The 14,261-nt window shown below is 40.0% G+C and overlaps 1 protein-coding gene across 9 annotated transcripts in view, besides 1 other annotated feature; it reads left to right on the forward strand.

Moving 5' to 3' along the window:
* Positions 1-14,261, forward strand: part of AGO3 (argonaute RISC catalytic component 3) — a 141,783-nt gene that overhangs the window by 94,583 nt on the left and 32,939 nt on the right. For all 9 annotated transcript variants that reach the window (XM_017000523.3, XM_005270575.5, NM_024852.4 and 6 more), the window contains 3 exons: positions 1,814-1,998; positions 8,874-9,033; positions 10,877-10,967. In XM_017000523.3, coding sequence (XP_016856012.1) covers positions 1,814-1,998; positions 8,874-9,033; positions 10,877-10,967 — 436 coding nt within the window. The remainder of the gene's footprint in view (positions 1-1,813; positions 1,999-8,873; positions 9,034-10,876; positions 10,968-14,261) is intronic.
* Positions 8,993-10,192: an enhancer, noted in NCBI's record as "MED14-independent group 3 enhancer chr1:36499894-36501093 (GRCh37/hg19 assembly coordinates)". NCBI's record gives its function as "activates an origin of replication core promoter dependent on BRD2, BRD4, P300/CBP and CDK7 cofactors, and independent of MED14, by STARR-seq in HCT116 cells {active_cell/tissue: HCT116}" and the evidence as "EXISTENCE:reporter gene assay evidence [ECO:0000049][PMID:35650434]".

Below are 14,261 nucleotides of genomic sequence, written 5' to 3' on the forward strand. Positions count from 1 at the left end.
TAATGTATTTTTTTCCTCCAGAGTTTTTATCCCCCTGCTTTCAAGTGAAATGTCACAAGGATGGCTTATTACAATGCTATGATTATCTTATTTGGCCTTGAAAGGCCAAAAAAAAAAAAAAACAAAACCATTTCCAATGTTTTTCAAACTTGAGCTTTTTTATTTTTCATTTTATATTTGTTATTCGCAGCTTGAATAGATGTCTCAGAATCATTGGGCTTGTGGCTCTTGTTAGGCTAAGTGAAAATACTCAATTTCATACTTCTTTAATTAAGCACCGATAAGGAATAGGAGAAACTTCATCTCTATCCTGAAGGAATCAGAGTGTTTTGGGCAAAGATCACTCAGATCCTTGACTTAGGACCTCAATTGTTTTAAAAAACCAGTGAAGCGATTGTTGCTCATTATTGCTTATTTATACTGAATTCAAAATTTTCTATAAATATGAAATTGGTGGCCGGGAGCAGTGGCTCATGCCTGTAATCCCAGCACTTTGGGAGGCCGAGGTGGGTGGATGGCCTGAGGTCAGGAGTTCAAGACCAGCCTGACCAACATGGTGAAACCCCATCTCTACTAAAAATACAAAAATTAGCCAGGCGCGGTGGCACATGCCTATAATCCCAGCTACTTGGGAAGCTCAGGTGGGAAGATCATTTGAGCCTGGGAAGTTGAGGCTGCAGGAGTGAGTTGTGATTGTATCACTGCACTCCAGCCTGGGCAACAGAGTGAGACTCCACCTCAAAAAAAAAAAAGAAATTGGTTTTGGGGGTTTTTCAGTGTAAATCAAAGTACATTAAAATGCTGCCTGCCTCATCTGTTTATTTGGAGACAAGAGTCTCACTCTGTCACCTAGGCTGGAGTGCAGTGGCATAATCTTAGCTCACTGCAACCTCCGCTTCCCAGATTCAAGTGATTCTCCTGCCTCAGCCTCCCAAGGAGCAGGGACTACAGGTGCCTGCCACCACACCAGACTAGTTTCGTATTTTTAGTAGATATGGGTTTTCGCCATGTTGGCCAAGCTGGTCTCGAACTCCTGACCTCAAGTGATCCTCCTGCCTCAGCCTCCCAAATTGCTGGGATTATAGGTGTGAGGCACTGCACCCAGCCTCATCTGTTTTTAAATTTTGTTTTTATATTTTAAAAAAATCCTCTGAGGGCATAATCTTTCCTGCTATCCTAGTGTGAGATAGGTAATACTATAGAAATTCTGGCTCTACCATTTGTCTAATCATTTGAACTTTGGCCAAATATGTAATGTCTATGAAACTATTTTCTGATCTGTAAAACAGGAATAATACCTGCCGTGCCTCTTTCTTATGAATCTTGTGAGATCAAATTAGAAAATAAACAATAGCTAAAATGTATCAAGTTTTTACCATGGTCCTGGATGGTGTGCTAAGTGCTTTACATATATGATCTCATTTAATCTTCACACCAACCCTATAGTTGAAGCAATCCTTTTACAGATGAGGAAAACTGAAGTAAGTGCCTAAAATTTCATAGTAGTATGTAGCAGAACTGGGAATGGAACTCTCCATACTAACTCTAGAGCTGAGCTCTTAACCAGCATATACTATTAGTAATGCTCCTTGTAAACTACAGAATGCCGTATAACTGTATAGAATGTTCTTCATTTGCAAAATGGATTACTGACAGACCATTACGCTTAACATCAGTAGTCTGGTGACCTCTCATATATGAAGCACACAAATCTTTGCTTCATCCTTCCATTCCCTTCCCAAACTTCCCATTACTACTTTGTAGGAATTCATGACTAGACAAAGGTTTTATATTTAGTGGTTTCTCCTTCCAGGGGTTTCACAGACCAGCTGCGTAAGATTTCTAAGGATGCAGGGATGCCCATCCAGGGCCAGCCATGCTTCTGCAAATATGCACAGGGGGCAGACAGCGTAGAGCCCATGTTCCGGCATCTCAAGAACACATATTCTGGCCTACAGCTTATTATCGTCATCCTGCCGGGGAAGACACCAGTGTATGGTAAGGATATCTTAAGACTGCATTTTTCCTCAAGTACTTGATGTCCTTTTAGGATTATACTGAAACATATCCTAAAACTTTCAAATATTAAAATATATTTTATGATACAGTATTTAAAACCATGTATTATTACTTGAAGACAAATTAATATAGCAAACTAAATAGTCCAAGATGAGACATTGTAAAAAGAGTTTCCGGGCTGGGCGTGGTGGCTCACGCCTGTAATCCCAGCACTTTGGGAGGCCGAGGCGGGTGGATCACCTGAGGTCAGGAGTTCGAGACCAGCCTGGCCAATGTGGTGAAACCCCATCTCTACTAAAAATACAAAAAATTAGCTGGGCGTGGTGGTGGGCGCCTGTGGTCCCAGCCACTCAGGAGGCTGAGGCAGGAGAATGGCGTGAACCCAGGAGGTGGAGCTTGCAGTGAGCCGAGATCGCACCGGTGCACTCCAGCCTGGGCGACAGAGCGAAAGTCCGTCTCAAAAAAAAAAAAAAAGGGTTTCAGTAGTGAAAAGAGGCATTACATAACAATGGCTAAAGAAAGAATTATTGAATAAAAATGGCATTGAGATAATTTGAGTATCAGTATAATGTAGTGGTTAAAAGCACAGGCTATCAAATTAAACTGTGTTGCTCAATATTCAGGTACTGCCGGTTCTACTACCTGTGTGATTTGGCTGAATTACTTAATCACACTAGCCCTTAGTTTCCTCATCTCTGGAATTGGGACAATATTTATGTATGTATGTGGTGTGTATGTATGGGATAGGATCTCTCTCACTCTTTCAGGCTGGAGTGCAGTGGTGCAATCATGGCTTACTGCAGCCTTGACCTCTTGGGCTCAAGCAATCCTCCTTTCTCGGCCTCCCAAGTAGCTGGAACTACAGGCATGTGCCACCACACTGGACTAATTTTTTATTTTTTTATTTTTTTTGTTTGTATTTATTTATTTATTTATTTTTATTATACTTTAAGTTTTAGGGTACATGTGCACAATGTGCAGTTTAGTTACATGTGTATACATGTGCCATGCTGGTGCGCTGCACACACTAACTCGTTATCTAGCATTAGATGTATCTCCCAATGCTATCCCTCCCCCCCCCCCACCCCACAACAGTCCCCAGAGTGTGATGTTCCCCTTCCTGTGTCCATGTGTTCTCATTGTTCAATTCCCACCTATAAGTGAGAATATGCGGTGTTTGGTTTTTTGTTCTTGCGATAGTTTACTGAGAATGATGATTTCCAATTTCATCCATGTCCCTACAGAGGACATGAACTCATCATTTTTTATGGCTGCGTAGTATTCCATGGTGTATATGTGCCACATTTTCTTAATCCAGTCTATCATTGTTGGACATTTGGGTTGGTTCCAAGTCTTTGCTATTGTGAATAATGCCGCAATAAACATACGTGTGCATGTGTCTTTATAGCAGCATGATTTATAGTCCTTTGGGTATATACCCAGTAATGGGATGGCTGGGTCAAATGGTATTTCTAGTTCTAGATCCCTGAGGAGTCGCCACACTGACTTCCACAATGGTTGAACTAGTCTATTTATTTTTTTGTAGAGACAGGATCTCACTATGTTTCTCGGGTTGGTCTCAAACTCCTGGGCTCAAGCAATCCTTAAACCTTGGGCTCCCAAAGTGCAGGGATTACAGGTGTGAGCCACTGCACCTAGCCTCTTTCTGGTTTTAATTGAGCATTTTATATGATTCTATTTTCTTTCCTCTTTTAGTGTATCAGTTATACTTCCTTGATATATAGCACACATACCCTGGGATACTAATAATACCTAATCCATATATAGGGTTGTTGTAAGGATTAACTGAGTCTAATATGTAAAGGGCCTAGAATAGCACCTGTCATATAGTAAACAGTCAATGTTAACTGTTATTATTATAAACAAAATTTTGTGAGATTAATAAGCTAAATATAAATCATTGAATCGTAGAAAAATACAAAGAAAATATAATTTTCAAACCACTGAACGGGGTAAAATCATGTAAGTTTAGAAATAATAGAAGAAATCACAAAAGAAAATTGTCAGATTTGACTGAGTACTGAGTAAACATTAAATTTTCTCTTTCTTTCTTTTTTTTTTTTTTTTTTTTTGAGAGAGAGTCTCGCTCTGTCGCCCAGGTTGGAGTGCAGTGGTGCGATCTCGGCTCACTGCAAGCTCTGCCTCCTGGGTTCACGCCATTCTCCTGCCTCAGCCTCCTGAGTAGCTGGGACTACAAGCACCTGCCACCATGTCCAGCTAATTTTTTTGTATTTTTTAGTAGAGACAGGGTTTCACCGTGTTAGCCAGGATGGTCTCAATCTCATGACCTTGTGATCCTCCCGCCTCAGCCTCCCAAAGTGCTGGGATTACAGGCGTGAGCCACCATGCCCGGCCCTTTTTTTTTTTTTTGAGACAGAGTCTCCCTCTGTTGCCCAGGCTGGAGTGCAGTGGCATGATCTCAGCTCACTGCAACCTCCACCTCCCAGGTTCAAGCTGTTCTTCTGCCTCAGCCTCCCTAGTAGCTGGGTCTATAGGCGCGTGCCACCATGCCTGGCTAATTTTTGTATTTTTAGTAGAGACAGGGTTTCACCATGTTGGCCAGGGTGGTCTCAAACTCCTGACCTCAGGTGATCTGCCCACCCCAGCCTCCCAAAGTGCTGGGATTACAGGCATGAGCCACTGCGCCTGGCCCCTAAATTTCCTACATGTCACGGATGTACTAAAATGAAAAGAAAACCAATAGAGTGTGGAAAATATTTGTAGCAAATAGAAACAATAAACAAATAGTTTATTATTAGTTAAATAAAAACCTTCTTTTTTTAGATTAATGAGAAAAGATTATAAACTGAAATTTAGTAAAAACAAAGCAAGTAAATATATGATAAGTTTGTTTTTATTCATAGTTAAAGAAAAATACAGGCCAGATGCAGTGGCTTATGCCTGTAATCCCAGCATTTTGAGAAGCCAAGGTGGGCAGATTGCTTGAGTTCAGGAATTCAAGACTAGTCTGAGCAACATGGCGAAACCTCATATCTGCAAAAAAATAGAAAAATTAGCCAGGCATGGTAGTACACATCTGTGGTCCTAGCTACTTGGGAGGCTGAGATAGGAAGATCACTTGAGCCAGTAGGTGGAGGTTGCAGTGAGCCAAGATCATGCCACTGCACTCCAGCAGCCTGGGCAACAGAGCGAGACCCTTTCTCAAAAAAAAAAAAAAAAGAGAGAAGAAAAGTACAAATCAATAAAGGGAAAAATTTTGTGCTGCTAAATTAGCAAACATATTTAAATATTATAATACCTAGTGCTTGTGAGTATGCAGTGTATTAATACGTTGCTGATGGTAGTATAAATTGATATTACCTTTTTCATCAAAACTGTAAACATGCCTGGGCTGGTCTCGAACTCCTGGCCTCAAGTCATCCTCCCGCCTCAGCCTCCCAATGCTGGGATTACAGGCATGTGCCACTGCTCCTGGCCCCTCCTGGTTTTAATTGAGCATTTTGTATAATTCTATTTTTCATTCTCTTTTAACATATTAGTTAGACTTCCTTTAAAAATTTTTGTAGTGTTTTCCCTAGACTTTTTAATATATATTTACAACTAATCTGAGTCTACTTTTAGGTAACATTATACCACTTCTTAGATAGTATAGAGATACCTTGTAACAGAATACTCCCAATTTTTCCCTTCTGTACCTTATATTTCTGTCATTTATTTCACTTATCCATAAGCTATAACTACCCAATACACTGTTGCTATTACTATTTTGAACAAATAATCATCTATTAGCTCAATTAAGAATATGAAAATACAAGATTTTATTTTACCTTTATTTATTTGCTGACCTTCAACCTTCCTCCTTACTTTTGTTTTGTTTTGTTTTTTAGAGACAGGTCTTGCTATGTTGCCCATGCTGGTCAGTGGCTATTGTCAGGCATGACCATAGTGCACTGCAGCCCCAAACTCCTGGGCTCAAGTACTCTACCCACCTCAGCCTCCCCAGTAGCTGGTACTACAGGCATGACCCACACTGTACCCTGCTTTTCCTTCATTTATGATTTCTGATCTGTATCATTTTCCTTCTCTCTGGAAAATTCTTTTAATATTTCTTGCCAAGCATTTCTACCAGCAACAAATACCCTGTTTTTATTTGTTTGAGAAACTCTTTATTTCTCCTTCATTTTTTTTTTTGAGCCACATAATGATTTAATGTTTACTTGCAAATCATTCACTCACATAATTTCAAGTACTAAGTCATTCTGGAATTCTTACATTCTGACATTAAGAACATTCACATGTTGTGCAGCCATCATCACTATCCATTTCCAGAACTTTTTTCCATCATCCCAAACTGAAACTCTTTATCCATTAACCAATAACTTTAATATCCTATTAAACCTCACGTAACCCCTGGAAAGCACTGTTCTACTTTCCGCTTCCATGAATTTGACTATTCTAGTTTCCTTATGTACATGAGTCCTACAATATTTGGCTTTTGGCATAATATCCTCAAGGTTCATCCATGTTGTACTATATGTCAGAATTTTCTTCCTTTTTTGGGCCAAATAATATTCCATTGTTTGTATATGTGTGTGTGGGGGGGCGGGGGGTGTGTGTGTGTGTGTATACACCACATCTTGTTTATTCTTCTGTTGATGGACACTTGGGTTGCTTCTACACTTTAGCTATCATGAGTAATGCTGCTATGAACATAGGTGTACAAATATCTCTTCACAACCCTGTTTTCAGCTATTCTGGGTATACATCTAATAAGTGTCATTGCTGCATCATATGGTAATTCTATTTTTAATTTTCTGAGGAACCTCCACAGTGTTTTCCACAGTGGCTGCACCATTTTACATGCCCACCAACAGCGCACAGGAGTTCCAGTTTCTCCACATCCTTGCCCCAATGTTTGTTATTCTCTGGCTTTTTGATAGTAGCCATCCTAATGGGTGTGAAGTGGTATCTCATAATGTCTTTGATTTTGCATTTTCCTAAATGATTAGAGACGTTGGGCATCTTTTCATGTGCTTATGGGTCATTTTTCTGTTTATCTTCTTTAGAGAAATGTGTATTGTCATTTGTCCTTTTTTTTAAGGCAAGGTCTCACTCTGTCACCCAGACTGGAGTGCAATGACACGATCATAGTTCACTGCAGCCTCCATCTCCTAGGCCCATGCAATCCTCTTGCCTCAGCCTCCTGAGTAGCTAGAACTAAAAGCACATACCATCATGCCTGGCTAATTAAAAAAAAAATTTGGCAGGGATGGGGTCTTGATTTGTTGCCTAAGCTGGTCTCTAACTCCTGGGCTCAAGCAATCCGCCTCAGCCTACCAAAGTGCTGGGATTACAGGTGTGAGACATTGCACCCATTTTTCTATGTTTTTTATATATAAGAAGTTATGCTGGGTGCAGTGGCTCACACCTGTAATCCCAGCACTTTGGGAGGCCAAGACGGGTGGATCACTTGAGGTCAGGCGTTCAAAACCAGCGTGGCCAACATGGCAAGACCCCATCTCTACTAAAAATACAGAAATTGGCTGGGCGTAGTGGCTCATGCCTGTAATCCCAGCACTTTGGGAGGCCAAGGCGGGTGGATCACCTGAGGTCAGGAGTTCAAGACCAGCCTGGCCAATGTGGTGAAACTCCATCTCTACTAAAAATACAAAAAAAAAAAATTATCAGGGCATGGTGGCAGGTGCCTGTAATCCCAGCTACTTCAAGAGGCTGAGGCAGGAGAATCACTTGAACCCAGAAGGCAGAGGTTGCAGTGAACCGAGATTGCGCCGTTGCACTCCAGCCCTGGGCAACAAGAGCGAAACTCTTATCTCAAAAATAAAAAATAAAAACAAAAAAAATAAAAAGTAAATAAAAATACAGAAATTAGCTAGGTGAGGTGGTGCACACCTGTAATCCCAGCTACTCGGGAGGCTGAGGTAGGAGAACTGCTTGAACCCAGGAGGCAGAGGTTGCAGTGAGCTGAGATCGCGCCACTGCACTCTACCCTGGGTGACAGAATGTGACTCCATCTCAAAAAAAAAAAAAGAAGTTATGGCTGGGTGCAGTGGCTCTTGCCTGTAATCCCAACACTTTGGGAGGCTGGAGCAGGAGGATCACTTGAGCTTAGGAGTTTGAGACCAGGCTGGGCACCATGGTGAGACCTCCCTCATCTCTACTTAAATAAAAAAAAAAAGGCTTGGTGTGGTGGTGCATGCCTGTAGTTCCAGCCACTTGGGAGGCTGAGGCAAGAGGATCGCTTTAGCTCAGGAGGTCGAGACTACAGTGATGCATGATCATGCCACTGCACTCCAGCCTGGGTGACAGAGTGAGATCCTCTCAAAAAAAAAAAAAAAAGTTATATACACCGAAATATTTATGATGGTTATAATGGCAGAGGAGAGGAAAGGAACAGGGGACTTTTGTTCTTTGCGCTATAATACCTCTGAATTTTTAAATTAAAGATAAGAGAATAGGATTGAAAGCTGTAAGTGTACTGTGATTACAAGTACATTAAAATAATATAAATGAGAAAATTATTGGAAGAGAGTACTATAAAACGATAACAAGGGATTATGTGCATGTTTCACTTTATGCTTTTCAGTTATTGCAGTTATGCTATGGCAAAAATATACCTTTTTATACAAAGAAGAAAACAACTAGAAAAATTGTCACTAAATACTTAAGCTAGTCTTCAAAGCAGTATACTTTCAATTTTAACAGCATCGCCTTAGTACTGTATTGGCATAATTTTTGGTATCCTGTAATACAATGATGGATTTTAAGGGGGAAACATAGTAGCTTTATTTTCAGTATGTAAAATTATTTTCAGGTCTTTTTTTCTGACTAGAGGTTTTGCATCTATTCCATAGCGGAAGTGAAACGTGTAGGAGACACACTTTTGGGTATGGCTACACAATGTGTTCAAGTCAAGAATGTAATAAAAACATCTCCTCAAACTCTGTCAAACTTGTGCCTAAAGATAAATGTTAAACTCGGAGGGATCAATAATATTCTTGTACCTCATCAAAGGTAAGATATGCTAATCGCTTATGAAAATATTATTTTTATATCTTCATTTGTCTATATATGACCATATCTAACTACTATAAGGGCTGTGTAAGAGACCCCCTTAATAATTCCTACTATGGGAGATTCGTAGACATTTTGGTAAAAAAATAATTTGGATTGGCAAGGTTCAGAGATTCTCTTGTGAAAATGCCCCCCACAATTTTATTTTATCTTATTTTTTAAGGAAAGAATGAAGCAAAGCAACAAAAGCAGAGATTTACTGAAAATGAAAGTACACTCCAGAGGGTGGGAGCAGGCTCAAGCCCCAAAAATTTTCATTTAGTATGCAAAGTACCTCTTACCTAGCCAGAAAGTATCCAGTGCTTTATTTCTCACTGGAGAGCCCAGCTTGAAGAATTTTCACTTTATTTGGTAATCATCTTCAACCTGGTTTCATGAGACTACTCACCTACCTGGAATGTGAAGGAGAGAAGGAACTGGGAGCCCAGATTAGTCAATTAAGTAAGCCATATCAGCCTTCCTGCTATAGTCAGTGAGAAAACACATTACTGTTAGATCACCCTTCTTAGAGCTGGAGCTCTTAGGAAGTAAGAGACAACATGACCTAGAAACAGGAGGTAGCTTATTGTGCAAGTCACTGAGGAAGAGGTCATTTTTCAGAGAATTGAACAAGTTCCCTTTTAATAGTTGAAGCAATTAGGCCTCAAAAAAGTTAACTGTACACCACAAATAAACATTAGAATAAGAATTGGCCCATGTTTGTTTGACACAAAAGTCCTTTTTTTCCTGTTTTTCCATGCCATCTCTACTTTCTACCCCTGTTAAATATGAGATGAGATCCGTAAATGAGATAAATAAAGAATTTTATCAACAAGCCCAACATGGTGAAACTTTATCTCTACAAAAAAATAGAAAGATTAGCCATGTGTGGTGGCATGTGCCTGTCGTTCCAGCTACTCCAGAGGCTGAGGTGGGAGGATTACCTGAGCCCAGGGAAGTCAAGGCTGCAGTGAACTGTGATTACGCCACTGCACTCCAGCCTGGGCAACACAGTGAGACCCTGTCTCAAAAAAACAATAATAACATAAAGTAAAATAAAAGGAAGTCCTAGCTTCCTTTATGACCATTGAATATATGTTACTCAAATTTATACTTTTGGCCAGGGAGTGGGAGTAGTGGATTCCCAAAATCCCTTCCAGTCTGAAGTGTAATGATTCCTTTTTCCCTTGAGAGATTACATAGGTTTAAAATATAAGTCTTTTTTTAAAGAGTGATAAAAATTTGTGGATCATAAGGAAGTTTATAATTTTGTGCCCATGTTGGAGAATACTAGCATCTGTTAATATTAATACAGCCCTTTTCAACCACCAGCACCACTATTTTAGATAAAATTCTGCTGTGAATAAAACTTTGGATTGGCCGGGTGCGGTGGCTCACGCCTGTAATCCCAGCACTTTGGGAGGCCAAGGCAGGTGGATCACAGGGTCAGGAGATCGAGACCATCCTGGCTAACATGGTGAAACCCCATCTCTACTAAAAAATACAAAAAATTAGCCGGGTGTGGTGGCGGGCGCCTGTAGTCCCAGCTACTTGGGAGGCTAAGGCAGGAGAATGGCATGAACTTGGGAGGTGGAGCTTGCAGTGAGCCGAGATCGTGCCACTGCACTCCAGCCTGGGTGACAGAGCGAGACTCCGTCTCAAAAAAAAAAAAAAAAAAAAATTTGGATTACATAGGACTTCCTCTGTGCTGTCAATAACTTGAAGTTACGTTGCAATTGTGTGAAACAGATAAATGGATACTGAAAAAATGAAATATCTAACCCTTTTTCAAAATGTGTTTAAGACCTTCTGTGTTCCAGCAACCAGTGATCTTTTTGGGAGCCGATGTCACTCATCCACCTGCTGGTGATGGAAAGAAGCCTTCTATTGCTGCTGTGAGTGTTAGCCAGGTTTATCTTACCTAAGGTTGACAGACCAGTATCAATTTTGCAGTTTCAACTTTTTGAATTTTAATATTTTCTTTGTAGCCAACTTTCATAAATGTTCTTTGGGTTTTTGAAAAGAATGATTATTCTCTGGTTTGGAGTTTGGAAGTTCCATATGTATCTATTAAATCAAGTTTGCTAGTTATATTATTCAAATCTTCTGTATTATACTTTAATTTGTCTACTTGACCTCTCCATGATTATGCATTTTTAGTTACTTTTTGTTGTTTTGAATAGTTTGTTTGTATATTTCAGTAATGTCTTTGTCATAGAAAGATACACTACATATAAGCTTGGTGGATTACATTTTTTATATATAAAATGTCTCCCACCTTCATCCAGGTCAATACTTTGCACCTGAATTCTTTTATTTTATTTTATTTTATTTATTTTTTTCAGACAAAGTTATCTTGTTGCCCAGGCTAGAGTGCAATGACACAATCTCGGCTCACTGCAACCTTCATCTCCCAGGTTCAAGCGATTATCCTGCCTCAGCCTCCCGAGTAGCTGGGATTACAGGCACCTGCCACCATGCCCGGCTAATTTTTTGTACTTTTAGTAGAGACGGGGCTTCACCATGTTGGCCAGGCTGGTCTTGAACTCCTGATCTCGGTCAGTCCACCTGCTTCGGCCTCCCAGAGTGCTGAGATTACAGGTGTGAGCTACCGTGCCCAGCCAAATTCTTTATTTTACTACTGCCACTCCTGTTTTTAACATCTGCCTGTTATTTCTTTGCTCTCTGTGTTTGTAACCTTTTTGTCTCAGTTTAAGTGTATTTCTTATAAACTTGAGAAAGCTTGATAATATTTTACCTATTTTGAAAATCACTTGATTTTAACAAATAGCCAACATTTCGAAAATATGAACATCTTTTAGGCATATTTAATAAACTTCAGAAATTAAACTGTAAGATTTAATTGGCCAGGCGCGGTGGCTCACGCCTAGAATCCCAGCACTTTGGGAGGCTGAGGCGGGGGTGGATCGCTTGACGTCAGGAGTTCAAGACCAGCCTGACCAACATGGTGAAACCCCATCTGTATAAAAAATACGAAATTAGCCTGTCGTGGTGGTGGGTGCCTTTAATTCCAGCTATTCGGGAGGCTGAGGCAAGAGAATCACTTGAACTCGGGAGGCGGAGGTTGCAGTGAGCTGAAATCATGCCACTGCACTCCAGCCTGGGTGACAGAGGGAGACCCCATCTCAAAACAAAAAAAAAGATTTAATATTTTTTCTATGATACATTATAATCTTCACATAAATCTTGTTTTATGAATCTGATAAATCTAATTCATCCCTGAAAATGATAGTAATATTTAAATTTCCACTTCATGATTTCAAAACTATTTTCATTAGTAAAGGAAATTAATTTTTATCTATTAATTCTCTTGCTTTTGTATTTTTAATGTTATACATGAATTATTTTCTTTAAATGTTCAGTGGTTGTATTGAGTCATCTCTAACATTCATTAAAGTGTTCTTATAGATGATAAAATGATAAAGAAAGGAACTCAAAAGACTTCCTTGGATTTGCTACTTTGGGTCATTTTCCACAAAGGTTTAAGCATATTTTAATTCCTTTGGACTTCTGGTAGTCATTGTCTTTTTCTACTAAATCCGTTTCTACCAAATACCCACTTTCTTTTGTGGTTCTCAGAAGTCTTGTAAATAGAATTTATTGGTTGATTCTTTTTCACTATATGGCTTCTATCTCCAAGAACTTAGAGAGTAGTGTGAGAAACTAAGTAAGTAATGAGTGCCACATAGTATAATAGGTGTTATCATGATAACGAAGTAACAACATTTAAGTTGCAAGAACCTGGTGTGTTTTGGGAATGTTGAGAAATACAAGGAATTGGAACATAGTATACTGCAGGCTATGAGGCTAGGAAGCCTTTGTGAGGCATTTTGTTCCATCCGAGGGTCTGGATTTATTCTTTTTTTTTTTTTTTTTTTTGAGACAGAGCCTCGCTCTGTAGCTCACGCTGGAATGCAGTGGGCGCGATCTTGGCTCACTGCAAGCTCCGCCTCCCGGGTTCACGCCATCCTCCTGCCTCAGCCTCCTGAGTAGCTGGGACTACAGGTGCACGCTGACACACCCGGCTAATTTTTTGTATTTTTAGTAGAGACGGGGTTTCACTGTGTTAGCCAGGATGGTCTTGATCTCCTGACCTTGTGATTCGCCCACCTCGGCCTCCCAAAGTTCTGGGATTACAGGCGTGAGCTACCGTGCCCGGCCTGGATTTATTCTTAAGTAGCGAGATACCTTTCAAGGGAAAGAAATGGTCAAAGTTCCATTTTTGAAGCATGACTTTGGTATAGGTTAACTGGAAGAAAGGGTCTGGAGGCAGTGACCAGCTCTAGGCTCTGATCAGAATAATGTTATAAGTTCATGCTTTGAGGTCTCTTCTCCAAAGACATAACAATATTAGACACAGAAAGAGAAATTAATATAGCTAGTTTCAAAACCAAGATTAACTTCTCTGAGGACCAGATACAGAACACAAATGCAGCTCAATAAGACTGTATAGATTCAGGCCAAGAGGGAAAATTCTGATTTTAAAATTTATGAAGCGTAACAGTTCTAAGATGAAGCTAAAGTCTTAAGTATGGCTTCTGAGATAGGTTGCTAAAGTGGAAGAGATAGGAAGAAAAATCAGTGGTTTGAATTGGTCCTTGTTTTTTCTTATTTCTTTTCTCTTATTCTCTTATACACATCTTTTTGTCTTTTTCTTTCCTTACTAATCTTTAAGTCTACCAACAACACAAAGAATCTAATTGTTAAATGTATAGTTCAGCCTAGTTATAGGAAAATAGTTTTTTACCCTATACTAGGTGTTTTATTCTGTTCTTCAACGGGAAGTACTATTCTTTTTAATTTTTTAAAAAGATGGGGTAGGCTGGGTGCGGTGGCTCATGCCTGTAATCCCAGCACTTTGGGAGGCCAACGCAGACGGATCACGAGGTCAAGATATCAAGACCATCCTGGCCAACATGGTGAAACCCCATCTCTACTAAAAATACAAAAATTAGCTGGGGGTGGTGGTGCACACCTGTAGTCCCAGCTACTCTGGAGGCTGAGGCAGGAGAATCGCTTGAACCCAGGAGGTGCAGGTTGCAGTGAGCCGAGATTGTGCCACTGCACTCCAGGCTGATGACAGAGCAAGACTGCGTCTCAAAAAAAAAAAAAAAAAAAAAAAAGAGAGAAAGAGAGAGAGATGGGGTCTTGCTATTTTGCCCAGGCTG

The sequence above is a fragment of the Homo sapiens genome, chromosome 1 (assembly GCF_000001405.40).
Source record: "Homo sapiens chromosome 1, GRCh38.p14 Primary Assembly".
In the NCBI taxonomy this organism is placed as follows: domain Eukaryota; kingdom Metazoa; phylum Chordata; class Mammalia; order Primates; family Hominidae; genus Homo; species Homo sapiens.